We start from the raw sequence: 26268 nt of genomic DNA, 5'->3' as shown, positions 1-26268 counted from the left end.
GACAATGAATACGTGTGTTTGTATTTCACAGGTTTTAAATAGGCACATTAGAGTCGAATTTAAATCTTTTAAAATGCCATTAAACATTTTTAGAGTCTTGCTTAATGAACTCAGAAAATGATTTACAAGTCTCTGGTGAATACCACTAGGTAACTTCACAGCTCCCGAAAGTATAACCTGGTAGTTCCTTAACAAAGAAACATACTTCAGTTAGAATTTAAGATTTTCAAATGCAGGGGTGTATTTGAGCACCCTCTTCTCTGAAAGGTCAGGTATTTTTTTTTAAGTGAAGTGAAATGTTGGATGGATCTCTAAACAGCATGAAAAGACACCTCCCGAAGTAACTGTCAAGGGTGTTCTCCACAGTGAAATTGAAGATGCGTTTGTTTTGATTGCTGAGAAGGCTTAATTGTTTTCACACTTTCAAGCCACAAAATGGATTATTATGTTAAATCACAAGGAAACTGGTTTAATCATTTCGGGGAGCTGTGGTCTTCTTTTTTTTTTTTTTTTTTTTTTTTTTTTAGTTTAAAAACCGTTGGACTTTTCAGCTCCTTCGATAGGAGGTCCATTTCTTCCTATGACTTCCAGTCCGATTTAAGGAAGCGAAACATGCAAAGAGATGTTCCTTCCTCAGGCTCCCATGTCTTCCAACACAACTCATCATTTACTTAAGCCCCAGGAAAATGATGCAATTAACATTCTGGGAAGAGGGTTAATCCAATGCAATGATGTATTAAACCAAAAGGGCGAATAAAAATGGACCACCTTGGTTACATGATTTCCTATGTTTAGCTAATAAATTGTTGCAAAGTCCTTCCTAACAAAGTGCCCCGCCAGTGTGCGTCTATCCACATATGTTGTTATTATGTTTCTACAGTGTGAAACTATAATAGAAGAGTATGAAGATGAAATATCCTCACTTATCGCCCAGGAGACACACTATCTAGCTGACAAGCTGTGCAGTGAAAAATCAGGTACTGTGTCTGATGTAACATGTGCTCGCTGCTCGCACACCCTCTCTCTCTCACTCAGCCTTGCAGCGTCTTGTTTGCAGACCGAGCCTCGCTGCCTCTGCGATCCACGGCTCTGACACAGGATCCCCCGTCTCCGCTGAATCAGAAACGACAGCATGTGAGAGAAAACAGATAAACAGAAACCACAGGGCTGTGTGGCCTTCCTCTTTGTACTTTCTTTCCTCTATATATTAAGTGAATTCAAACATTCTTGATTTCCAGTTAAGGAGAAAATTCTTGTTCAGAATTAGAAGACTCCAAAGCACTTTCTTTTTAAAAACTTTGAGAGAGAGGATTTTTCCATCCTGGACCAGGGAAGGAGACCCTCACTTCATGGCTTGAGTATCTGCTACAGCAGCAGAAGGTGCGATTTTTATTTTGTAAGAACTTTCTAAAGTTTTTTTGTTTGTTTGTTTGTTTGTTTGTTTGGGGGGATGCTGGATTTTTTTCCAGGTTCCATTCCTGTATCTACTTCTTAAAAAAAATTTTTTTCTGGCTCAGAGGGTGGAAAATAATAGTTAATTCTTAAGCATATACACACACTCAGAAGCTGGAAAAAATGAGCAGAATTTTATTTATAATATACAAAGTTGAAAGCGATGGTCACTGACTCTCCGCTCTGTTGGCTGTACGTAGACCTTCTAGTCCCCTAACTTGGATGCTTGTTTAATACATTTATAAGAATGGAGTACACAGTTGTGCATTCTTTTGGATATCTTTGGGAAGAAATGAGTGAGTAGATATGAAGACAATGATTTAAAGCCAGTGGGGTACTTTTAAACAATGTGGAAGTTTGAGACAATTAGCATTCAGCAGTTGTTTACAATAAAGTATATAATACACCTACATCCATTATATCAAATGTAGTGCCAAAGTCCTTAAAATAACAGCTACTGAACATTTGTAGATAAATATTCATGTCATCAAAAGTTATTAAACAAGAAGTACACAAATCTCCCATTAACAGAACAGGTAAAGTTTTGTTTTTTTTGTTTTTGGTTTTGTTTTTGTCTTTTTTGCTTATACTCTGAGTAGATAATTGGGTTGTTTCTGTTTAAAATCCAGTTTTAATGAAGCTTGCAAAAGAATACAGTGAGACGACGTAGTCAGGATTATTCAGGCATTTGGGGTATTTTTCTTTGATGTGGGAGATATACTATAGAAATGTGTGATGTCCATGACCACAACTTCCCACAGGAAATGTTTTTAAAGTGTTTCAAACAATTCAGAGATGTATGTAGGCATTCAGATAGAAGCAAAAATGTGATGAACAATATTTGAAATATTAATTTCCCTATTTTTTCCTCATAAAGGACGTGGTCTATGACAAACGCAGATCCACTGCTACATGGGCCCTCTCTCAGATGCTCCAGGAGGACTAGAGAGGGTTCCAGTAACTAGTCCCAGCAGTAGTCACCCCGAATAATAAGATCCTGGGGAAAGACTGCTCCCAAGTTTGTCAATTTGACTTAATTTCAATAATCTTAACTACCTTTCTTCATTCCTTCTGCATATTTATAATTGGAATAAAACTTAACACTAACCTTGAGAAAATGCAAGCTGAAAGAATAAACCTAAGATAGGTGCAATTTTGCAAGTATAAAATGAAACCTGATGAGATAATTCTTAATTGGCATTTGATTTTTAAAACACTGATTAAGTCCTTACCACTATGAACAGCAGTACTGGAAGTAAAAGGTGTAAAAGATACTCAAAGGTGCAAGCCACCATTGAGCCGCTACGTAGTGAAGCGGGGTGAGTCCTTTCAGGTAATGTTTCTTCATGAAACATATTTATGGGTGTTCTAAACCACTCATAAGTTAAAAACCGAGAATAAATTAATCCTAGAGAGAGACTGGACTTCTCCCACCCACTCAAAAAGCCCTACTGTTGAAGTGAGTTAATAGCACGATAACAAGGAAGAGAGCTTCTTCAAACTGAACAATTTTTGCTAGAAAAAGCTCAAGCAACACATCAATGATAAAAACTCTGATAAGTGACTGAAGCAACAGAGAATTCATGCATCTTAACACATTGGGATGGTTTCAGACAACTGAAGGGTGAGATGTTCGTACCGTAGAAGACTCCAGATGCACTGGTGCCTAATCTAACATACAAGGACAGCCAGTTTACAACCAGAATATGACAGTCATACTCTGCTTTGTGAAGGCGATACTTTTCCTTGTGATCTTGCCCAACAGCTTTGCTGTGATAGACACTCCAGAGTTTAAACAGTGTCTTAAAGATGTGACTGTGTGTGTGTGTGTGTGTGTGTGTGTGTGTGTGTGTGTTGGGGGGTATGAAACTGCACATTAAGCAATAACTCTTTACTGAGTGTATACTACGTGCAACGCTCTATGCTGTTAAAATATTCACACACTGCTTTTAGGAAGATAAATATTTAGAAAATAGACATTGGTAGAATTAGAGGTTTTATTGAAACTTTAGTTCCTTTCTACACTTTACATACACCTTGTTTATATATGAGTTTCGCTTTTTTTCTTCTTAATGTAGATTATTTCTCTTTATTTATAATAATCACATGCTGGCAAGTAGGGCACATTCACAGACTCTTCAAAATATTGAAGTTCTAACATTCACCAATACACAAAAATAAGTGGGGAAGAATGGAGAAAATATATATGTCAGATTTAAGATGATTGTGTTTGGATGAAAATATAACACATCACTGAGACTTTCATAAACATTATGTGTCATTTTTTTGATGAGTGAAAAAAAATATCCATGAAAGGTTATAGGATTACAAATGAATCTGTGGCTGCCACTGCAGTTTATATACTGGATAGAATAAAAGTCATCAAATGTACTCTGTTTTTGGAGTGTGAGACAGAGTAACAGGGGGTTATTCCTCAGATAATCTCTTTTTTTCCTAGGCAAGACATAAAGGCAAGTTCATTAGATGTTCCTGGTGGAATATCTTGGGGCATATAGTTCAGACTTCTCCAGAATGTCATTTTGATGTCTTGGAGTCAAAATGATTAAAATCTTAATGTGCTATAGGGTCGTGATGAAAAGTGCAGCTCTGTGCCACTCAAGGTATGGAACAGAGCACTGTAACTTAGAAATGAATGGATCTTCTAATACTCATGGAAGTATTTGTTAAATAGAATATATGAAGGCATAAATAAATACACAAATATATTCTGTATGTATCTCTTCTGCTTCCACATCAAACCTTAACATTTAAAAGCATCATCACTGATGAATTTGCCACATCACAATTTCAAATGCAGCGTATGAAGATGAGATCAAGTATCTAGAAATGTTCAGCCTACATTTAAAGTAAAAGATTTTTCCCTTTTTATGTAGACTTCTCAAAACTAATGGGAATGTTAAATTCTAATATGTAAAATAATTGCTTTCAAAGGCTAGCATATTTTTTAAAAGTTATGTAGCTAAAGTAATCCATAGCCTTTTTCGATAGAGTTTGCATTAATTGCTTCCAACTGGAAAAGTAGCATTATCAAAGTATCTAGTTGCTTCTGTGGTCCTTGGGTTAAATGCCAGATGTCCTGTGCCCATTACAGGCTGTGAAATATCTCTGAGTGGAGCCATGGGTGAAATGACACAATACCTTGGCCTTGCTTTAAATCCTAAAGCCAAAAAAGACTGGAATATGGGCAAGAACAGCAGTGTTGATCTTTGTTGAAGCTGGGTTTGGGGTGCAGGGGAATAGATTACACCCTTCTTTCTGCTTTTGGGTAATTTCTATAATAACATTTTGGGAAAATTTCCATAATAAAAGTTTTTAAAATATGCTTCTACCAGAACATAGTTTTTGCATAATGTAAATGACTTAACGGGCTGGAGTCTAAAGTGATAATGATGCTATCTACTTTTTTTTTTTTTTCCAGATCTGTGTGAAACTTCTGCTAATCATACTGAGCTCTAGGAGTGCCGTTCTGCTGGTCGTAGAGAGGAGTAAAGTCACACCCAAAGGTCAATGTCTGCATTTTATGTTTGCATGTTGTCTTTCATGATAAGAAAAATTTTGTCTCTTGTTTATACCGTGTTTGTCTCCGTTTATGATTCATTTTGAAAATCTGTTGGTTGACATCATGACAAACCCTGCGTTTTTTTATAGGTGAAGCTGAGGAGTACATGAAACTTAAATTAACCTTTGCAGATTTTGATAAATCAAGCTTGACAATAGAGGATTTAATTCTGTATTGAGGAAAAAAGCGAAGACATTTCATAAACAAAATAGGGATTTCATAATGTATGCTGCTTATTTTATAACAGTGTATGTGCACATATGCAAGCGCAGTGGCTGTCTGATAAGAACTGGATTTGAATCCTCAAATACTTGATTGCCTATAAATTTAAGGAAATACATGGCAACAAATTCAAAATGTGGCCTTCTGGGTGAGATATGGCTATTAGTGAAAGAAACCCACTTTTTATCAGGAATGAAATTAAAATTTTTAGAAACCACAAGTTTAAAAACCCATCTCTAAAATTTAGTGGAATGTGTAAAAACTAATGAATGCTTTAATTTATAGTAAACAATAATTATATTGGCCTCTCAAACACCATTCTGAGTTTAAGTGGCTTAGAAAGTTGATTTATTATTGCATCAGGTGTTAAAAGATGACACTAGTGATTGCGTTTTGTTTCGCTCCAAACTCTTCTGGCTTGTTTGTTTTTCTTCTAAACGTTTTTTTTTTGGCTCACATTTAGTGTGTTGAGTTTACTACTAAATAATCTACCATTCTTCTACAGGAATGGAAAAAGAGTTGGGACCTGGTGGGAAATTATCTTTTGGCCACACTTAATATACAAAGTCTAGTAACAATCACTCCCGGAAATTTCTTTATCTCTGTTACATTTGCATTCAATGGAATCTGACTTTAATGATTAAAAATGTCAGGGTATGGTCTACACCAGTTTCTAAAAAGAGATTCTCATTGTCTTTGGTGACAATCAAGTGGGTAGGATGCTACAAATCCCCCCCCCAACCCCCCCGACCCAAAACTCTTTGCCATATTGTTACTTAGTTGCTTAAAAAGCACATTATGTGTTTAAATCATTCTCCTGACTCTTCAGCAGGAAACAATTCTTAAATTTAGGAAAATTTACCAAAGCTAAGGGGAAGGGCTTTCCATGCCCCCTCCCCACCTAAACTCTGATTAAAAGTTAGTGAGTTAATGTCACTTAATTACTTGGGTGCTTCTTTTTTGTCTTGTCTGTGGCTGCTTAAGTCTGATGGCTCCTACATAACCCAGCGAACTCGCACCCGAGCTGACACACGATGGAAATAGAACTGAATAATAATTAACACTATTTTCCAGTAGGGTAGGACAATTGTTATTTAAAACATAGTCCCTATAGCTTTATTTAAACGTATCTAGTTAAGGTTAATTTGGCATTTAAAGTAGTAAATCAGGAACATTCTCCTAACTTGGATTTTCTTGGGAAATGCACTAAACAGGACAATTATTCCTGAAAACCTAGTGACCTTCACAGGAACATGGCGGGACCTGTGACACTAAGTAAGCTTCAGTGAAAACTGTTCACGGTCGTAACCGTAGAAGTGTTGCCAAATCTGTTTCCATACTCTCTTTGATCATCATCAAACATTCTCAAATGTAGGCAATGCTAACACTAATTATAGAAATTAAGAAAATGTGGGCTCCTGTTTGTAACTAAACGGACGTGGGGAGGTGCACCTCCTGTCACTGAGGGGTGCCTTTCATGGACAGTGATGCTTTGCTTTGAATGGAGAGGGCGAGGAACCTTGACTTACAGTGACTATCTAAGGTTGTGATAAATATGGCATTTCAGGTTTTTTTCTTGGATTTCCCATTAAAAATAGTCTTGTATCTTGCAAATTTTTAATATCTCATGACTTGTGTATTTTTTCTTTCCAGAATTTTTTCCAGATCAAACTTGCCAAACTCATGTAAATATTCGTAGCTTACAAAGTTACTGATTCAACCTGTATTTGAGTGATAACACCTAAACCACTGGATTTCTTCTGGCTTCAGGAAGTCTTAGGTTTCCCTGTGGGCCACTGTTAGGTTGTGCTGCTTTTGCTAATGAACAATGAGATAGAGTAGCTACTCACTTTAGCATCCTCCTAGCCACCTTGGTGCCTTGTAAGTCACATTTATTGACCAAAACCAAAATAAAACAAGTCATGGGGAGGAAACAAAAACAAAAACAAAATAAAAGAAACAAGGCAACATTATAGGGTGAGAGAACGTTTCTCAGAGTTGATGAAAAGCTGCCTAATTCTATGTCCAAAAAAAAATCCCTGGAAAAACACGGGGTGGGGTGTGTAATGCTTATTAAAATAATGAGGAGAGAAGACTTGTTTGAGGCTGCATGGTTTCAAATTGTTCTTTTATGAGATGGTTGGTTTGGGTCTCCATGAAGACACGTGAACCTGTTCTCATAAAAAAAAAAAAAAAAAAAAAAAAAAAGACCAAATTGGCTGAGATGGCCAGTTTATTTTTTGTGATGTGGATTACTATTTGCTAAGAACAAGCCAAGGACAATGAATCCATTTTACTGAGGAGTGGAGAGCGGGATTGTGCTGAAGTCCCAAACGGGAAAGATCAATACTTTATTTACTAAGACAACCCTAAAAAAATAGAGTCGATAGCTGGCTGTGCTTTTATATCTGTTTCTTGGCTTAGGTTGATATTTATTCACATACGTAATCACTATATCTAAATAAAAATGATAAACTATATATCAAGCTTAAAATTCAGATTGTCATGGAATATGAGAAAAGTCATTCTTAGATGTGATTTTGTGGTCTGTTTTAAAACTTGGTACAAATTTGTGAGCTAATGTTAAATGTGCTGAAGCTCACGCAAGAGGATATTGTATAGTTTGATACCAAGATGCAATTAACAATGATACTAAACCATCACAATATGAATGCACCTGTGACATACAAGTGTGTTATTATGATTCCCTAGCTATAATTTAATTCCCCTTTATACATTTCTTAAATTCCTCAGATTAGTTGCTTTTAGAGCAAGAAACCAAGTGGATAAAAAGATCAAATACAATAAATGAAATAGAATTATGGAAGTTGTAAAACTGTACTGCCCTTAAATGACCTAGGGAAAGATAACAGTAACTGATACTGCTCTCACGCAAAGTTTAACTTCTTGCCCCTTCCCCTAAATGTATGTTTGCTGAGGAGAGAGGCTCTGCTCTTTGTAGTCCACTTTTCACGATCTGCCCCAACGGCAGGAGGTGCTGATGATATTTAATATAATATTGGCTCATTCACTTGTGGGGCCATCACCAGAAACATGGGGCTTTGCTTCAGAAGGACAGTTTGTGGAAGAGGAGTCTTACATGTCACATACAGCTCTCTACCCTTCTGGGTTCTTCAGGAAAGTCCAAAATTAGATGGATGGATAAATAGATAAACAGATAGATAGAAACTTGGAAATGTAGATACATGCATACAAATACACAGACACGGACATACATAATAGAGAGAGGACACGGAGATCAGCTAGAGCTTCGAATTTCCAGTGTGGAGATCTCAGGGAAAAAATAGGGTCTTTATTTCTAATTCCTTAATTAAAGAAACATTCCTATGCTCCTTATCTTGGAGAATTATCTCAAGATTTTCATGAAAGAAAAAAAAATTACAGTGGACATAAAAAAGATTCTACCCTGCCACAGTAAGAAATTCGTAAAACATATTTAATCTCTTATGAAGTTGCTGGAAAACAAAAATGCCATGAGGCTGCACTGGAACTAGCTTAGAATCTTATAGTATGTGTCACTGTATGGAACATGGATTTCAGTAAACCATGGATTAGATAATTTCCCTCTAAAGCATAATAGCACAGAGTAAAAGCCCAGTACAGTAAGGTGAGCAGTTTGATAGTCCTGTTCCCTCAAAGCCACAGGGCAGGGGGAGGTTCACAAATCACAAGCTTAGTGAATCCAAGATGTGACCCAGAGGGACATGGCCTTCCCGTGGAGCTGATAAGGGCTCCAGTAACTTTCTTCTCCTTTCGGGATTGTTAACACACCAGCATCTAGGGAAGGCAAGTTACGTACTGAAGCATCGGATGCCCAATGTCCGCTGATTAAGCATGGCCAGGGCTCAGAAAGATCTGATATACTATAAGTAAAAATGTGAATAGCTATCTCAAACTTTATGAATAGCGATGTTGGCTGTGAAAAGTTAGACTGTGCTCCTGAGTTTGATATTAAGGGTTTGCCTCATAGCAGCTTTCTGAACAAGTGGGAATTTCTCTACAGCGTATTCTCTGATATTGGCTGATAAAAGGTGACTGTAATCCACGAGGTGACACCATTGTCAACAGAGACAGAGAAGATTTCAATCAGGCAATTTTCATTGTCTGATAGAAGTCATCTTCATGGCTCTGTTCTTCATCAAAGGGCACTGATGAACTACCTTCATGCCCTGTGGTTTACAGAAGAAAGCGGAGAACCAAAAAATAGACTATTTGGTCCCTATTAAAGATGGACCCTATGTAAAGCAATGTGGTATTAAAACAGAGTGAAATCTAATACAAATGTGGCTTCAACAAGTGTTATTAAATTATTAGACCTTTAGGTAAAAATATACCCTTGAATTGCTTTCATATGCAATCAAAGCCATGATGAAATATGAATGCCCTAAGATGAAAGGGTCTTGGGTGCATGCGTGTTTTGAAGCAGTGCCCCTAAGTGAGAAACAGGAAATGTTGCAGGTTAGCTCACTTTTGCATATGCTGTGGATACTGACACCTTGACCAGTTTCGAGAGTGGAAGCCACACTGGAAATCCTCACTCAATTCCAGGGATCTGGGTCAGCTGTGCCTGGTGGAGCTCGTGTGTGCCCGTGGGTGTGGTGTGGCTCTCTCTTTCCAAACCGCAAAAATCCCAACCGTTTTTGTGAGCATGCACTGGCCCTATGGCAAGATCCCACTGTAGAAAGATGGCTGTGTCAAGGTCAGAAGAGAGGGCTGATTGCAAGAAATCCCCTTCTGAAACAAAGCCCAGTAAAAAGATGCTGTTCCCCTTACTAACCAACGGGTGGACGCACAGGGGCTTCAGAGAGAAACACGTTTGAGTTTTTTGTTGTTGTTAAGAAATGCTTTCCTTTGTACCTGATGACTGAGTCTCAAGTCCAGGAAAATGATAGCATCTCTAGTTCTTGTGCTTCCCTTCTAGTAACTAGTGATTTATTAACACACCAGGGGCGTTTTCTCCCGTGCACTGACAGTGTTGAGTAAGGTACCTTCAGCCTCATACCTCAGCCCAGGCGGCAGCAGGCGCAGAGGCCCCAGCCTGGGCCCTGCATAGGCCGGCCGGGTGACCTAGCCCAGGGCCGGCTGGCCCAGGCGGAGCCCCTGGGCACAGGCAGTGAGGGCAGAAAGCCCAGGCTGGCCGCCGCGGCATCTGTGCCTCGGGGTCCCCTGGCTGTCCTGCATCCCTGCCGGGGCCCTTGAGCGTAGGCTATCCTCACCCCGCCAAGGTGGATCCCAAAGGAACAGACGCCACAGCGTAGGCTCAAACAAAGCTTTATCTCGGGGAGGAGGGTGAGCCCACTGCTTCCTTCCCTTTCATTCCCACATTGATTTGTACCTGGGAAAGGCCCCAGCCCAGCTCAGGGCCCTTCTCGCAGCTGGCAGAATGAGTCCGCGCTTCCTGTTAGTTATCAGTTACCACTGTCGGCACTGGAGAAGCGCTTCCCGCTGGGCAATGGAATGGAACCTGTGGTGCAGAATCCTGAGAAGGGGCTGGGGGAGCCTCCCGGTGATCCAATTCCGCACCCCTGGCTTGGGGGCAGTGCACCTCAGCCCCTCCAGGACTGTGGAACAGTTGGGTGGGGTCTTGCAGCTGAGCTTGGTAGCCGATGATGGTTTCCAAGTAACCACCGCTCCTCTTTGAGATTCCTCTTGGTTTAATCTTCCGCGCAGAACTCAGATGCCCGGCGGGCCCTTCTGAGCGCCCGGCCCCCTAAGACCTGCCGTGCTCACTGTTCTGAACGTACACACCCTTGCCCTTGGCCTTTTTGGGTTTGTGCTCAAATAAGCAAATACTCAGGAAGCCCTAGTGCACCTCAGGCCCCGTGCTAGGCGCCGAGAAGGATACAGGAGTGGTGCAGGCGGGGCACAGAGGTCCTCGTGGGGAGAGGGGCCCCCGAGGTCAGACCAGCACGGCGGGAGGGCGGCCTGTGCTGCGGCCTGGTGAGGACATTCAGTGTGGAGGGTGGTGCTGTGCTTAGTTGGACAGGGCCTCCACCCTGAGCTGCGGGGAGAGCAGGGACCACGAAAGACCAGGCCACTGGCTGTCTGGAAGCGCTGACACAAAACACCAAAATGGGAGAACTTTAAGGCAAAAAATGTGTTCTTTGGTTGGGTGGCCTGTGGTAGCCATGAGGGAAGGAGGCCAGGCCAAGAGCTCCAGTGATGTCGGGGATAAGGGAGCCCCTTGGAGTGTCCCGCCTGAGAACGAAGGAGTAAGATCAGTACCTGCTGGGAGGACCCGGAAGGGGACTTCCCCACACCCTCGATGGCGGCCCTGAACACCTCATCCAGTTGGAAGGACCCAGGAGGGGACTTCCCCCCACCCCACCCCCGATGTGGCCTGAATGCCTCACCCAGCTGGGAAGATCCAGAAGGGGACTTTGTACCCTCCCCCCACCCCATGGCAGCCCAGAATGCGTCACCCAGCCAGGCTTTGTCCTAGGCCAAAATCCAAGGCAAGTGTTCCCAGGCTGTGTGATAGAGAACTTTTCCTGATCTCAGGTGGGGTCTTGGTTTTGCAGGAGGACTAAGAGTGTTAGGAAGCTCCAGGCACCACCCCCTGCCCACACACCACTGCCTAGACCCCAGGGGCCATGCCTGGAACAGGATGTCCACAGGAAGTGCCCTCAGATAACCCGGAGGCCTTGGAGGACAGGTGCTGTGAAACTTCAAGCTAAACACAGACTCTGACTGTAAGGTCGCTGCACCTGTCTCAGCGCGCATGGACTTGGTGGTGGGCCTGAAGCCAATTTGCATCCTGATAGCTTCCTTTTGAAAGCCGGGCCTAGGGAGTGTGTCTCCAGCTCAGGCTGGTACCTGAGGGTCCTGGGACAGGGGATTCTCTCCTTTCAAGATGTCACTGCCACTGCGTGGAGCTCCTTACTGAGACCTGCTTCATCAGCGGGCTCAGCCTCCTGCCTGGTGCCCACGAGGGGACGTTTCTGATTCTTTCTACTGCATCCATTTCAGAGACCAACTCTTGGTCATCTGAGCCTCCTCCCCTGCTGCAGACGCACCTGGACTGTCCCAGTTGCCCTCCCCAACCTTTCAGAGGAGCAGGGTGGGCCTGTGCGGGCCTTGCTCTGGGGAGCCTTGGGACTCTGCTCCTCTGGAGGGATATTGAGACCAGAGCAGGCCCAGCCTGGACGGGGCAGGCGGCCTCTACCACTTCAGGCTGCTCAGGCAGGGAAACTACAGAGGAAAAGGGTGGCCAACCTCTTTAGCTTGGGTTTCTTATTTAAAACCAGATCAAACAAAATGAAAATTGGAAAAAAAAATATATTTTTTCTAAGAGAAATACAAATATTTAGAAAACACAGATTTTAAAAATATGAAAATAAAAAGTCTCCAAATTTCATCACCCAGATAATTGTTTACATCATATATATACACACGCATATCTGTTAATACGCGTGTGTGTATATACATACATCTGTAAATTAGATTATATCTTATCTACCATATTATGACCTGGCCTTTTCACTTGATGTATTGTGAATCTTCATGTCACTCAGATTCTTCTACAGCATAAAATTTAACGGCTGCAAAGTGTTTATTTCACGTGCAAGCCACATTTATTTAACAAATCTCCTGTATTAGGTCGTTTCGATTATTTTCACGTTTATTATTGAGAACAATGCAGAGATTAATTTTTGTAAGTGAATATTTAGCAAATTCAAGAACATTCCTGTCAGCTAAAATTGCAGAGGTGGAAGGCTCCCAGGGGAAGTCAGTGCTGGGAAGCTGGTGACGGTGGGAGAGGCTGGCTCAGGGCAGGCCAGGCTTCCACCCGTGGTGCCAGGTTTCTTGCTGCTCTAGGAAGGTCTAGGGAGACTTGGAGCCACATTTCCAGTGACGCTGAGTCCTCCAGGGAGACCTGGCATCGGGCAGGTGAGGAAGGAGAAGAGTCCTGCCCATGGGAAAGTCCCAACTTCAGTTCCAGGACAGGGAACCTGGACGGACCCGAACCCCACCCGCCCAGGCTCTGCAGCAGGATTCCCATCTTCAGTTCCAGGACAGGGAACCTGGACGGACCCGAACCCCGCCCCGAACCCGCCGCCCAGGCTCCACAGCAGGCCTGTTTGCTGAGCCTCGGCCGGGTGAGCCCAGAGGCCACGGCTCCTGCTAGCATGGCGATGGTGGTGAGCTCAGCACTGCCCTTTACAGTTTATATGTCCCTCCCGAGGGCACTATTTTATTTCATCCTTGCAACAATTTTGTAGAGAAATGCCATTTTCATCTCCAACTTGGGAAGAACAGACTAGGGTCTGGAGACTTACAAGTGGCGCAGGTCAAAGGCCAGATTCCCGGCTCTGCAGCACGTGCGTGCCTCCCTTGAGGGACCGCTCAGGCGGAGAAAGACCCCAGACCTGGGCTTCGTGCCCTCCCTGCTCTCATGGGCCGGACCCTGTAAATGCAGTGGTTGGACCACGGTGCCTGCGGCCCTCGGCTCTGACGGAGATCCAGGCTGCAGGGCTCCTCACTCGGATTTGGTGGGGTCACACATCAGCACTGAAGCATTTCCTTTGAGAAGACCGTGACTTTCTGGGCAGCCCGGCGGCTGCTTATTAGGACAGGCTGGACATGGGCTTGTCTGTGGTGACATCTCTCTTAAATATCATGGTGTGAACATGTATGCCAACAAGAGGAGGCAGGAGGGCTCCCCGAGGAACACATACCGCACGGGTGTGCTGGGCGCCCAGCGTCGTGGCTGCGGCAGAGCAGACCATGGAACCGGCACTCACTCCAAGGCCTCCGCCGCAGCACGAGGCATTCGGGGTCCCCGAGGCCCCACATGGCCTGGTCGTGGGGAACAGAAACAGCGCCCACATATTACCGCTGACCCAGAGAGGAACAGTAGGGCCAAGTGCGTCAGAAATCCTCCTTGTGGGGACTGACTCCTTTGAATACAAATAATTTTGGGGTGTGGCCACAGGGTCAAGCCCTTTTCCTGGCACAGCTATTGATTGTATGGATTCCTCAGCGTGGTAGCAGTGATTTGTTGACCTTACCTTTCCTCTGTTTTTTTGTCGTCGTTGTTGTTTTTGCTCTAGAGAGCTGACATCCTTTTAGCAAATATTCATTTTGCCTTTCCATATTCCTGTAAACCAGAGCTTCTTCACCTTTCTTAATGCCATGGATCTTTTTGGCAGCTGTGGGATGCCTATTGACACAGCCTTCTGAGATGAATATATTTAAATGCATACAGTAAGATACACAGGATTTCAAAGGAACCAGTCAGATTTAAATAGTTACAAAATATATTTTCATTGTGATGCATCTTTCTTTACTAATATCTTTAATAACAAGATCTAGCAGCAGGTCTATTGGCAAATTTTAAAGTAGTGACGAGCGGAAATGATATTCTGAGATATCTGTAGGTATAACATGACATGAAAATATCCGTGGTTTAAATCAGCCGCAATCTCACAGGCGCTGCTAAACCGTGCAAGGGTTTGATGTCTACTTCATAATGAAAAGAAAAAGTGGATTCCAGTTAGAGATGGACTAGCAAAAACAAGGATGAACTTTTCCCATCCAAGTTCACAGGATCCAGATTTAAAACTCCCGCTTTAAAGGAAACAGAAATAAGTAATCCTGTTTAGAGGAGCCCAAAGCACAGAGAGGCTGAGTGTTTGGCCCAAGACAACACAGCAAATTAGAGCTTCTGTTGAATACATTGCCTGGCCGGTGCCGTCCTCATTTTTCCTCATTAACTTTTTTGTAAGTGAATATTTAGCAAATTCAAGAACATTTCCGTCAGCTAAAATTGCAGAGGTGGAAGGCTTTTTTTCCTCATTAACTCTTGGTCTTAAAATGAACAGTAATCCAGAAGTCTCATCCTAAAATGCTTCCAAAAAGATTAATTGACTACATTTACTACTCAAATGATGAAGACTACTGGTGAATTTACAAGACTTTTAAAAGAGCATTTTAGAAAATAGGAAAAGGGTTATAATTTACAATTCAAACCCAAATCACATGCAGAATTGTTCAATTAGGGGAGGATTAGAGGATTCATTTTTATCAGGGAAAATCTTGAAAATCCAATGTCCAGTGCTCATTTTTGGTCACATGATAAAATTAGTGACAAGACTGTTTGAAGAAATCCTTCAGACCAACATCCACACTTAAAAGAAATGGACATGTATACATTAAGTTAGTTGTAAGCTCCACTTATTGTATTTTGATGGCAAAGGGGACCATGACCGTTGGATCCTCAGGTGCCAAAATAGTTCACAAAATAAAGTGCTCTGAAGGAAGTGGTCTTCCCAAATACAGATTGATTTCATAGACTTCTAGAAATGTATACCAAATAGAATGGAACAGTCTGTGGTTATTTCCTCATTTAACTAATAATCTGAATGAAAGGATGGGCAACGTGACTCTTCACTCTGTCATAAGTCAAAAGTATAATTTCCCATACAGATTTCTTTTCCATGACTACCAAGCTTATTGCATGATACCACAGAGTCATCTTTCCATAATAAAGACGTCCTAACCCATTTACAGGGAACCTTCCCAGGAGGAAGCAAACTCTTCCTCTCTGCCATTTCCGGACTGGTTTCCTCTCTCCGTCCCCTGACTTTTATCTCAGCTGTGTTTCTTTTTGCCTACCCCTTGTCCCCGGAGTCTCAGCCATGGATAACCCTGCTGCGCGGAGGCGGTTGAGAGAGGCCGCTGTGAGCTTGAGTGTGGACATTTGTCACGTACAGAGATGGCACCCAGAATGCCTGGGGTGGTCCCCGCGCCTTCAGCCCCCCACTTCACCAGGTCCCTCTCCTCTCTGCCCCGAGCCTCCTCCTCCTTCCTGCTTCCTGCTCTGCTTGTCTCTTCCCTCTTGGATTAACCCTTCCCCCCTCTCAGCATTTTCCTTTCTCCTTCCATGTTTTTTTTTAATCCCAGTATTCAAGTACATCTGGGTATTTCCAAAGCAAGCCGGGTGGGGCCAGGGAAGGAGCTGCCCACGGAGACCTAGTGTGGTGAGGACACTGCTTCAGGCCGAAGGGATGGCCCTGGGCTGTGTGCTGGACCCCTTGGCTTCAGTTTCTGTAGAAACCCGGTAAAATCTAGGGTTCGTGGGGCGGTTTCTGAGTTCCTTTGATTACTCCACGATTCCATGAACTCCCAGCGCCCACTCCGACGTGCTGGGGCGGTGGCCATCTCTCGCCCTCCCCTCTCCAGCCTGGGTCTTGTTTCTCCGCCTCAGCCCCGGAGGTCTGTCTGTCCACCTGTTTCCCACCCCGTCTCTCCCTCCCTGTCGGGTTCCTGCACCCTGGTCCCGGGAGCCCCTCTGCCGCCCCGCCCTGGCCCTCCTGCGGTCGCGACACCCGCTGCGGCCGCACCCTTCCTGCGCCTGGTCGCCTGGTAGCTGCGTCTATGTCGCTGATGCTCTTCGCTCTAATGGCCTTTGTTGGATCGTCTCCTTCTTTTCCCCTTTTGTTTCTGTGGGGTTCTCTAGACTGTTTGCTCATTTCAAAAAAAAAAAAAAATCCATCTTCCGCGTTACCCCATTCTCTCCTGCCCTAGCGAGTCCTACAAGCGTGTTTCCTGTAGGCCGAGCCGGATGCCTGAGGCCAACCATGGCAACAGCCAGGGCGCGGGGGGTGGAGCCCGGAGCCGGCCAGGGCAGCTCATCCAAGCCTCGGCTTCCCCTTCTCACGGAGGGAGGGCCGGACGGAGCAGCCCAGGACTCCCAGGGGATGAAAGAACATTCCAGAAACCCAGCCCCTGTGGCAGGCCTTTAGGCAGCCCCGGCTTGCTGGGTGCTGCAGGGGGGCAGAGGGGAGTTTCCGGTTCCTGGAGAAATCGCTCCTTGCTCCTTAGTGACACTTGCTGCTAATATTAATTGTAAGTGTGTGAAGACAGCACCAGCAGAGAAACCAAACAACCTCCTGTAGCAGTCCTGGTGTAGAGGAAGAATTTCAGCCTCGCCCGAGGCCCGGTCTATTCCTGTGAGGACTTCTTCCCTGGTTCTTTTCCTTCTGAAGCCGTAGCCTTCTCGGATTTGCCTGCAAGGGCTACCCTGGAACAGTTGAGGAGCCTCATTGTCCCCCATCCCTGCGGGCACGGGGGCAGGACACTCCCTAGCCCAGGCTCCTGATTAGAAATGTAAAAGAGTTTCTCCTGCGGGAGCAGATGCCCCGCCACTTCCTGAGAGGTCCCTCCTTTTCTCTTAAAGACGCAGGGCACACAGAAGACGCAGCCATGCGTGCAGCTGGGCGGGCCATTCAGCGCCCTGCCCTTCCTGGGCTCTGCAGTGGCCGGGGCGGCCGCGTTCAGCCTCTGCTTCTGGTAGCTTCTGAAGCATGAAGGCCTGGGCAGCGGTGCTCAGGACAGTCCTCCCTGGGCGGGGCGAGGCCGGGAGCTGGGCCCCTGTCCCCCCGGTTCTGCGTCCCCGGTTCCCTCCTGTGATGGGAGGCTGTGACTGAGGGAGCCTCCCCTCGGCGGTGTGAAAGTGACCACGCTCTGCTGTCCTTCCAGGGAAGCTTGATGGTCCCAGCCGGTGCCGCTCCCTGGTGTATGGGATGGGGTGCCTGGATGCTGCCTCTCTCCCACTGCCTGGCAAGGTGGACACAGCCTGGGCCCAAAGAGAACAGACACAGAGCCGCCCGAGGGGCCAGCCTGCCCCACCGGCACTGGGCACAGATCTGTTCCACAGCTCTGGCTTCCATGGCTCTGCGTGTGTCTGTGGTTGCCCTCATGCCCAGTGCAGGTCCTCACCCTTCTGTCCCAGCCTCAAAGTGGCGGCCTCCCTCCCACCTGCCCTTCCACCTGCTGCCAGAGAAGTCTCTAGAAGCAGGCCTGCGATCACATCTCCCTGCACACCACCACTGACTCTCAATGCACCCGAATGAGTCTGGGCCTCCACGTTGTCCCTCCAGCTTTGCCTTTGTGTACCTGGCATCACTGGGCAACAGCATGATTCTGCCCCTCCCCGGGCAGTGCCTACAGTTGCCCCTTCCTGGCCTTACCAGCTCCGGTCCCAATCCACACAAGACTTGTCTACCCATGGAGTCCAGGCCCCTGCTCGTGGGGGCCTACCCTGGAGGGGCAGGACGGGGCGGCATCCCGAGGGTCGGCCTCAAGAGCATCCCCGGGAGGCTGAGACCTGGCTGAAGTGGGGAGGTGGGCACCCAGTTTCCCTGAGGCTTCCCAGCAGGAGAGTGTGTGCGCGGTGGGGGGGTCTCACTCCCAGACCCCTATGCTCCTGACTCTGGAAGATCAGTTGTACCTGCCCCGCCCAGCACAGTGCCTTGCCTATCACGAGGGAAACTCAGCGCTGAAGTCCCCGTGGAGGCTGGAGCCTAAGCGTCTCCACTTGTAAGAAGGATGGAAGTCACAGCTGCCTCACAGAGCTGTGGTGAGGGGTTGCTGTAACTTCAAGCACACAGCACAACACCTGGTACTTGGGACGCAGCCGTGTCAGTTCTAAGACACACGTGGAGCTTATCATCCAAAGTGAGCTGCTTGAGAAGTTGCAGAGGGGTGGGTGGGGCAACAGACATGAGACGAGCCATCCGGATTTGGGGGTTTCCAGCTCCTATTGTTATAGAAAATGCTCAGCAAAGAGTATTTATAGACTGAGTAAAATTTTAAGCAGCCAGGTTTCTTACGAGACTAAATGAGAAGTGGCAGGGAGGGGCCGAGTAACAAATGTGACATGCAAGGATCTGTGGGTGGTGAGAGGGTCCCAGACAGGACTGGGGCTGGAAGATGGCTGTGGAGACAGCAAAGGCAGAACCCCTGCAGAGAGAAGAGCTCGCTGTGCAGGACGTTTCCAAAGGGTGTGGCTGGGCGTGGCTTGGGCAGTCCCCTCATCCTGCCAGTGTCCCCCACAGGGAGGTGGTGACAGCCCTTTTGTCCCTCTCAGGGTTGCAGGAGGAATGAGATGAAGGGCTTACCCTCAGAGTGCTTAGAGAATAAAATGGGAGGATGCAGCATTGCCCAGCTGAGTCCAGGCCTGGGGTGGGGTGTCCCTCCAGCTGCAGGGATGGATGTCAACAGCAGCTGAGCACCAAGGGTGGGAGGGCCTGGGCTAAGGGGGCGAGGAGCTGGCCCACGCTGGGCTGAAGGATGCAGCCAGGGTGCTGGACAGAAGGGTGATGGTCGAGGGTGGGCCAGGGGATCTCTGCCGCCTTCCTGCACACCTGGAGGGATGACTCCTGGGCAAGGGCCACCAGGATGTCTGTCTTGGGCAAAAAGTTAATTTTCAGGGAAAAGCAGACCATTTTAGCTTGGTGACCAGTTTGCCCTGCCCAAGACCAACCACCACCCAAATGCACACCCACCCTCACCCTCAGCTGGGGGCCTCCAGGGGCACAGACCTTTAAGCAGAGTGCAGTCTGACGGCTCGGTGCCCCATTAACGTGCGAGTGACCACAGCCAGCTGCTGCCTGAGTTGTTTCTTCCACCGGGCGCTGAGCACGATTGGACTGTCAGCCCCCTTGTGAGTACAGAGGTTCGGGCCAAGGTCACCCCACCCAGGTGATAGAGTTAGGAGGAAAGCCCAGTGTGAGTCTAGACGGCAACGCGGTGGGCTGGAGAGAGGGCAGGGCTGAAGGAGTGAGGGTCCTCCTGCAGCCCCCAGGCCAGATCAGGGAGCAGAAGGACGAGGATGCCCTTGGGTTTCCCACACGGGCTGGAGGACTTGGAGAGGTGTGGGGACAATAGCAGACAATGGCTTTGTAAGCAGAGATGCAGACTTGTGCAATGGTAATAACGACGGCTCATGTTTCCCCAGCCCTTCACACGCCAGGGCTGCCCTAAGCTTTTCGTGAACATGATTTCCTTTAATCTTCACAATAGCCAAAGTAGGCACCATCACCTCTCCTTTACAGAGGAGGAGACTGAGGCCCACGGGCTGATGGCTGGACTCAGCCGGGGCTAGCTGTAAGCCTGTGTCCCTCCACGGCCTGTCCTGGGCAGAGGGCCCCACACCCGCCTCCTCCTCAGAGAAGCCACTGTTCCAGCATGATCGGAGGGAGGGGCAGGACCGCTTGCAACTCCTTGCTGTCCATGGTCACTGGGCACCGATGGGCGTCTGCTGGAGACAGCATGCTGGGTGCCCAGGTGCTGAGGGAGAGAGGGAACGACGCGGGGTCTCCCGCTGCGGGGAGGACACCATGCCCTGTCTGGAGGCCCAGACCACGACTATGAAAACCAGCAAATAACAAGCACTGGTGAAGATGGGGAGGAACTGGGGCCCTTGTACCCTGTGGTGGGAGGGAAAAATGGCTCAGCCACCGTGGAATGCTAGATGACGGCTCCCCAAAAAACGAAACCTACAATTACCATATGGTCCACATTTCCACAGCTGGGTGTATATACCCCAAATAACGAAAACGCAATTTTTAAAAAGAGGGTCACACCACAGACAATGTCTTAGTGCCAGAGGCTGAAGGAGGTCAGAGGAGGGCCAGCAGTGGGGGCTGCACCATCTCCTGGGAGCTCCCCAGGGCTTCCTATACCCCAAGTGTAGCTCACGCTGGCCTGTGGCGTTGAATGAATGAGGACTTGAGTAGGAGGCTGAGCTAAGTTAAGTGTTCCCCACCCTCTCACCACAGTCCCCTGAAGGCATAGAGTCCTGATGAATGTCCTTCAGATCCAGAATAAATAGCAGGCGTTGGGTTGAGATGGCCTGGCTCAGATCCCTGAGCTCCAGGATTCCTTTCCTCTTCTCTGAGTCCTGCACTTGGAGCCAGCACGTGCTGCCTGGTCAGAGCACATTCCCAGCCTCCTCGTGCTTGAGTGTGACCATGTGGTGACATTTTCTCAAGGAAGGTCAGGCTTGGCCTCTAGACGTGGGCCTTGCCACTTCTCCACACTTCCAGCCGCGGAGTCTGGACAGTGAGGCCACTCACAGCTTTGGCCGGGCAGATGGCAGCGAGGCCCTGGGGACGAGGAGAGCCGTGCTCTCCAGTACAGTAGCCACGAGCCCCATGTGCCACTTTATTAAAACCAATTCAAATTAAACAAAATTTAAAATTTGTTTCCTCAGTTGCACTAGCTCAATTCAAATGCCCAGTAGCCACAGGGACTGGTGGCCACGGGATGGGACAGCACCTGCTCAGGTCACTTCCGTCATCACAGAAGTTCCATCAGGCAGCACCCAGGAGGAGGCTGGATTTCTTTTCTTTTCTTTTCTTTCTTTTTTATTTTTTGAGACGGAGTCTCGCTCTGTCGCCCAGGCTGGAGTGCAGTGGCACGGTCTCGGCTCACTGCAAGCTCCCCCTCCTGGGTTCATGCCATTCTCCTGCCTCAGCCTCCCGAGTAGCTGGGACTACAGGTGCCTGCCACCACGCCCGGCTACTTTTTTGTATTTTCAGTACAGATGGGGTTTCACCGTGTTAGCCAGGATGGTCTCGATTTCCTGACCTCATGATCCGGCCTCCTCGGCCTCCCAGAGTGCTGGGATTACAGGCGTGAGCCACAGCGCCCGGCCGAGCCTGGGTTTCTAAATGACCCCTAGGAACACAGCTGCCCCACAGTCTGGGGCCCGTTAACAGCAGGAGGATGTCGTGACAGAAGCAAACTCCTGCGTTCCCTAGGTCACTGTGTTTTGGGGACACTCTGTTATGGCACCCAAGCTTTACATATGTGTATCTGTGGATGTATGTATTTATACATATGTATCGCGGATGTATGTATTTCTGAACGCATACGTGTTTGTGTGTAGGCTTATTCATGTGTATATAAATCAGGCCTCAAATATATAGGTGGGTGCCATTGTGACTGACAAAATGCAGAACCTTTTAAAAGCCCCTTGGAGCCCAGAATTGTTTGTTTGACTTTGTATGTTTTCTCAGAAAGTACTAAAAATATAACTACCGTCTGGCTATAGACCTCAAAGTCTGTAGATATTAAAAAATAGATTTTTTTTTTTTTGAAATGGAGTCTCGCTCTGTCACCCAGGCTGGAGTGCAGTGGCGCAATCTCAGCTCACTGCAACCTCTGCCTCCTGGGTTCAAGCGATTCTCCTGCCTCAGCCTCCCGAGTGGCTGGGATTACAGGCACCCGCCACCATGCCCAGCTAATTTTTGTATTTTTAGTAGAGACAGGGTTTCACCATGCTGGCCAGGCTGGACTTGAGCTCCTGACCTCAAGTGATCCGCCCACCTCAGCCTCCAAAAGTGCTGGGATTACAGTCTTGAGCCACCGCGCCCAGCCAAAAAGAAATCCTTTTACCTGCAAAGGTTGGCAATCATGGAACCAGATGACAGTGACAAGTAGGGTCTGTGGAGGAGACAGAGGCCTCCTGGGTTGGCTTCTTGCAGCCTGCTGTGCCCGGAGCTGCCATGGGCACGGCTGGATTTTGCCCACTGGCCTGGGTACAAAGCAATAGGTGGAGCAGATGATTTGAAGCGGGCAAGGCACACAAGAGTCCCCAGGTGAAGAAAGGACTCAATTTCCCATCCCTGTTTACAGATGCCAAACCTGAGGCACAGAGAGGTTGAGTCCCATCCCCAGGGGCACACAGCTAGGAGAGGCACAGTCAAGCTTCAGAGCCAGGCGCCCTGGCCCCAGCCCTGCTCTGGATACCTTGGCGGTGGCTGGAGTGGCACATGGAGCTGCAGCCATGGAGGCGTGTCTTGCTTCTTTGAGGCCTCACCGCTGAACTCGCAAAAATCTCCCTTTACCCCAGTCTCCCCAGCCAGCCAGGTACCTGCTGGCCTTTGTTCAGGCTGTCAGATAACAGGCAATTGTGTGCTTAGTTCTCTCTGATGTGAACAACTCCGCTGGGAATTCTCAGCGACAGTCAAGAAATTAATTTTGTATAGGTCAACAAGCACCTTGTGCTAAGTAAGAATGATTCTCTGCCCTTCCCGGGCCTCCGCGACGGAGCCATGGTGAACAGAGTCACGTCTGTCCAGTGGGAGCTCGGCGTTGCTGTATCCCTGTATCGCCTCCCGGAGCCCTGGACCCCTGTAGGCAGTGAGGGCTGAAGGACCAAGCGAACAGCCTCTGGCCCTAGACTCCTCCTCCATGAAGAACACCCTTTTCTGACCCCCGTCTTTGGGGTTCCACTGGGCCTGACTGTAGACACAGTACAGGGACCTATGGAGGGGCGGGGGTTCGGGTCAGACATGCCTTTGGGGTTCCACTGGGCCTGACTGCAGACACAGCACGGGGACCCATGGAGGGGCCGGGGTTCAGGTCAGACATGCCCTGAACTTCCCTAAGAGCTCTGCTGGCCTTGATGATCACCAGCCCCCTTCCTGGTCTTAGAGACTGGGAGTCCCCCCAGCATCCTTTAAACAGCAGGGGATCGAAACTCAGAGGCTCTGAGTGGCCACCCAGTTAGTCCCCCAAATGCCTGTGGGAAGCTGTTTTGTCCTGTTTTTCACTGCATCACGGTTTGATTTCTGGTCCTCAAAGCAATTAACATTTGGCATCAAACAGGGAAACAGACAGAGCCTCGCCCCCGCAAACGCCTCACTCACACGCATGCATGGACATGCACACACCCACACATGTGCACACTGCTGCTCGCCCATGTGTCTGTCATGACAGGGCGCTGTGTTTCCTACTCCCGCGGTCATCCTGCTGGCAGATGACCAGGTCCCAGGCAGTAGCAATGCGGCACAGCTGCAGGAGATCCGAAGCTGCCTGGGCTGTCCACAGTGGCGTGGGCCTCAGCTGCAGCTTCCAGCACAGCTGCTTAGATAGGGCCAGCTTTTTTTTTTTTTTTTTAAACAAACCTGAAGCTCATTGTGTGGTCGAAGATGTGGTTTGCGAGTGCCCATGGCAGGATTCCCACTGCGGAGACTCCTGTACATCGGGTATGAGGCAGCACATTGCGTGCAATGCATTCTGGTCTTTTTTCCTCCCTCCAGAAGAGGCTCCATTTATGTGTTAGGCTTTAAGAGGCTGGGCGTACCAAAAGGAAGTCTCTGAAACGCAGTCCTGTCGAACACCTCTGGAGTTGATTCTTCTGATATCACAGGAGTTCTTCCTATCACTGTATATTATTGGGTGCGAGCCCCCGGTCCTTCCTCTATGAGGAGGCAGTGGAGGGAAGAGTTGAACCTCTTCTCGCACACACACCTGAGACTCCCTGGCTCTCTCTGTGGGCCACAGGATGGGCTTCAGTTATGGCGAGTAATAATTTTGTTATCGCGGTTTTTACATTGATTTGGAACATGGTGTTACACAAAATGCTGAAATTGAAAAAGACAGGATGAGTCACCTTTGCCCTGTCTCCTCTTCAAGTCTGATCCTAATTGAACGGAGAGTGCAAACTGCACGCCAAGATTTGCAGAACAAAGGCCTCCCCGCCCACGAGTTCCTCATGGCCTTGCCTCAGTCCCCGAAATCCCGCTGTTAGCCTCCCTCACTAGAATAAGGCATTAGCACAGAAGCCAACGTTGGGGGAAAAGAAAATCAATACAGCGTGGAAGAGAAAGCAGGAAGCCATGGAGGGAGGAAGAGACTGAGGCTCCGGCTGGAAGGACTTCGTTTGTGATAAGAGCAGAGAGGAAAAGCAGCAAGAAAGAAAAGTCGCTGTACACTTTGGGTCTGGACATCAAAGAAACAAAGGAAATGCTTAGATTCAGAGTGGCACGTGTGTAGAAAAAAGTCCTGCTTTCCTGTCTTGGGGGACACCACTATCATCCCATGTAAGTGACCAGTGCTCCCCAAGTGGCCCTCTCCTGGCATTTCACTGAGACACAAGCTCCCTGAAAGCTGGGGCTTACCTGACCATGTGCCCCCTGCACTCCCAGGGCTGAGACCTGCGTCTGGTCCCTGCTAGACACCCAGCGAGGGTTGACAGCATGAGCGAATGAGCTTCTCCGTCTGCCCGTAAGTGTGATGGACACCTTCTCCTACAGCCACCCGTTTCACACATCAGGCAAACGTCTGTCAAGTCCACTCCTGAAAATCCTGGTATTTTCTCTACTTCTCTATGATAATTTTAATGTTTCCTTGAGGCAGTATTCTTGCACCGGAAAGCAGCATGAATGAGGACTTGGAAAGCCCCCGCTTGCCTACGAAGGCGTCATGGGTGGGGCTACTCAGGAAGCTGACACAGAGCAGAGCTGAGCGTGTTCTGAGCATGCTCTGAGCATGTTCTGAGCGTGTTCTGAATGTGTTCTGAATGTGTTCCGAGCCTGTTCTGAGCGTGTTGAGTGTGTTCTGAGCATGTTCCAAGCATGTTCTGAGTGTGTTCTGAGCCTGTTCTGAGCGTGTTCTGAGCATGTTCCAAGCATGTTCTGAGTGTGCTCTGAGCATGTTCCAAGCATGTTCCAAGTGTGTTCTGAGCCTGTTGTGAGCATGTTATAAACATGTTCTGAGTGTGTTCTGAGCATGTTCCAAACATGTTCCGAGCAAGTTGTTTCTAAGCATGAGCATGTTCTGAGCATGTTCTGCGTGTGTTCTGAGCATGTTCTGAGCGTGTTTCGAGCATGTTCTGAGCATGTTCTGGGTATGTTCTGAGTGTATTCTGAGTCGGTTCTGAGCGTGTTATAAACATGTTCTCAGTGTGTTCTGAGCATGTTCTGAGCATGTTCTGTGTTCTGAGCCTATTCTGAGCATGTCCTGAGTATGTTCTGAGTGTATTCCGAGTCTGTTCTGAGCGTGTTCTGAGCATGTTCTGAGCATGGTCTGAGCGTGTTCTAAGTGTGTTCTGAGTGTGTTCTGAGCATGTTCCAAGTGTGCTCTGAGCATGTTCTGAGCGTGTTCTGAGCATATTCTGATCATGTTCTGGCTTTCATGGGCCATGTGCGTGAGGAAGAAGGATGTGGCATTGGACAGGTGATGCAGTCACAGCCTCGCCCTAGGCCACTCCGGGTCTCTGCTGCCAGGCTACGAGGAGCAGAGAAACACAGGTCCTCTAGCGCAGGTGAGGAACTTTGGGAAATTATTTGATCTTGTCTTAGGGAATACCACGAGCAAAGCTTATTACACGGCTTGGGACAAATATATGGGTCAAAAAATCACCCCAAAACATGAAAGAACTTTATACAAAGGGGATCCACTTGGGAGGGCTTAGA

At 47.3% G+C, this 26268-nt stretch overlaps 1 protein-coding gene across 19 annotated transcripts in view, besides 9 other annotated features; it reads left to right on the top strand.

Moving 5' to 3' along the window:
* CNPY1 (canopy FGF signaling regulator 1) overlaps positions 1-6868 on the top strand; it is a 45431-nt gene extending 38563 nt beyond the window's left edge. For 6 of the 19 annotated variants that reach the window (NR_163160.1, NR_163164.1, NM_001369814.1 and 3 more), the window contains 3 exons: positions 881-977; positions 4892-4976; positions 5122-6868. Coding sequence is in view for 8 of the 19 variants with exons in the window: in NM_001369814.1 (NP_001356743.1) it covers positions 881-977; positions 4892-4929 (135 nt within the window). In the remaining 11 variants the exon portion in view is untranslated. Of the gene's footprint in view, positions 1-880; positions 1381-4891 lie in introns of all 19 variants that reach the window. The other 13 variants (NR_163163.1, NM_001393663.1, NM_001103176.2 and 10 more) reach the window with 3 other exon arrangements.
* Positions 1031-1080: a silencer, noted in NCBI's record as "silent region_18848". NCBI's record gives its function as "represses an Ori minimal core promoter by ATAC-STARR-seq in GM12878 lymphoblastoid cells {active_cell/tissue: GM12878}" and the evidence as "EXISTENCE:reporter gene assay evidence [ECO:0000049][PMID:35858748]".
* Positions 9910-10613: an enhancer, noted in NCBI's record as "H3K4me1 hESC enhancer chr7:155290079-155290782 (GRCh37/hg19 assembly coordinates)". NCBI's record gives its function as "activates a minimal SCP1, AML or CMV promoter by ChIP-STARR-seq in primed H9 embryonic stem cells {active_cell/tissue: H9 hESC(primed)}" and the evidence as "EXISTENCE:reporter gene assay evidence [ECO:0000049][PMID:30033119]".
* Positions 13430-13979: an enhancer, noted in NCBI's record as "H3K27ac-H3K4me1 hESC enhancer chr7:155286713-155287262 (GRCh37/hg19 assembly coordinates)". NCBI's record gives its function as "activates a minimal SCP1, AML or CMV promoter by ChIP-STARR-seq in primed H9 embryonic stem cells {active_cell/tissue: H9 hESC(primed)}" and the evidence as "EXISTENCE:reporter gene assay evidence [ECO:0000049][PMID:30033119]".
* Positions 16509-16578: a silencer, noted in NCBI's record as "silent region_18847". NCBI's record gives its function as "represses an Ori minimal core promoter by ATAC-STARR-seq in GM12878 lymphoblastoid cells {active_cell/tissue: GM12878}" and the evidence as "EXISTENCE:reporter gene assay evidence [ECO:0000049][PMID:35858748]".
* Positions 17378-18111: an enhancer, noted in NCBI's record as "H3K27ac-H3K4me1 hESC enhancer chr7:155282581-155283314 (GRCh37/hg19 assembly coordinates)". NCBI's record gives its function as "activates a minimal SCP1, AML or CMV promoter by ChIP-STARR-seq in primed H9 embryonic stem cells {active_cell/tissue: H9 hESC(primed)}" and the evidence as "EXISTENCE:reporter gene assay evidence [ECO:0000049][PMID:30033119]".
* Positions 23117-23617: an enhancer, noted in NCBI's record as "H3K4me1 hESC enhancer chr7:155277075-155277575 (GRCh37/hg19 assembly coordinates)". NCBI's record gives its function as "activates a minimal SCP1, AML or CMV promoter by ChIP-STARR-seq in primed H9 embryonic stem cells {active_cell/tissue: H9 hESC(primed)}" and the evidence as "EXISTENCE:reporter gene assay evidence [ECO:0000049][PMID:30033119]".
* Positions 24567-25766: an enhancer, noted in NCBI's record as "MED14-independent group 3 enhancer chr7:155274926-155276125 (GRCh37/hg19 assembly coordinates)". NCBI's record gives its function as "activates an origin of replication core promoter dependent on BRD2, BRD4, P300/CBP and CDK7 cofactors, and independent of MED14, by STARR-seq in HCT116 cells {active_cell/tissue: HCT116}" and the evidence as "EXISTENCE:reporter gene assay evidence [ECO:0000049][PMID:35650434]".
* Positions 24988-25488: an enhancer, noted in NCBI's record as "H3K4me1 hESC enhancer chr7:155275204-155275704 (GRCh37/hg19 assembly coordinates)". NCBI's record gives its function as "activates a minimal SCP1, AML or CMV promoter by ChIP-STARR-seq in naive H9 embryonic stem cells {active_cell/tissue: H9 hESC(naive)}" and the evidence as "EXISTENCE:reporter gene assay evidence [ECO:0000049][PMID:30033119]".
* Positions 25194-25243: an enhancer, noted in NCBI's record as "active region_26897". NCBI's record gives its function as "activates an Ori minimal core promoter by ATAC-STARR-seq in GM12878 lymphoblastoid cells {active_cell/tissue: GM12878}" and the evidence as "EXISTENCE:reporter gene assay evidence [ECO:0000049][PMID:35858748]".

The sequence above is a fragment of the Homo sapiens genome, chromosome 7 (genome assembly GCF_000001405.40).
Source record: "Homo sapiens chromosome 7, GRCh38.p14 Primary Assembly".
NCBI lineage: Eukaryota > Metazoa > Chordata > Mammalia > Primates > Hominidae > Homo > Homo sapiens.
This window is presented reverse-complemented; position numbering and strand designations above follow the sequence as displayed.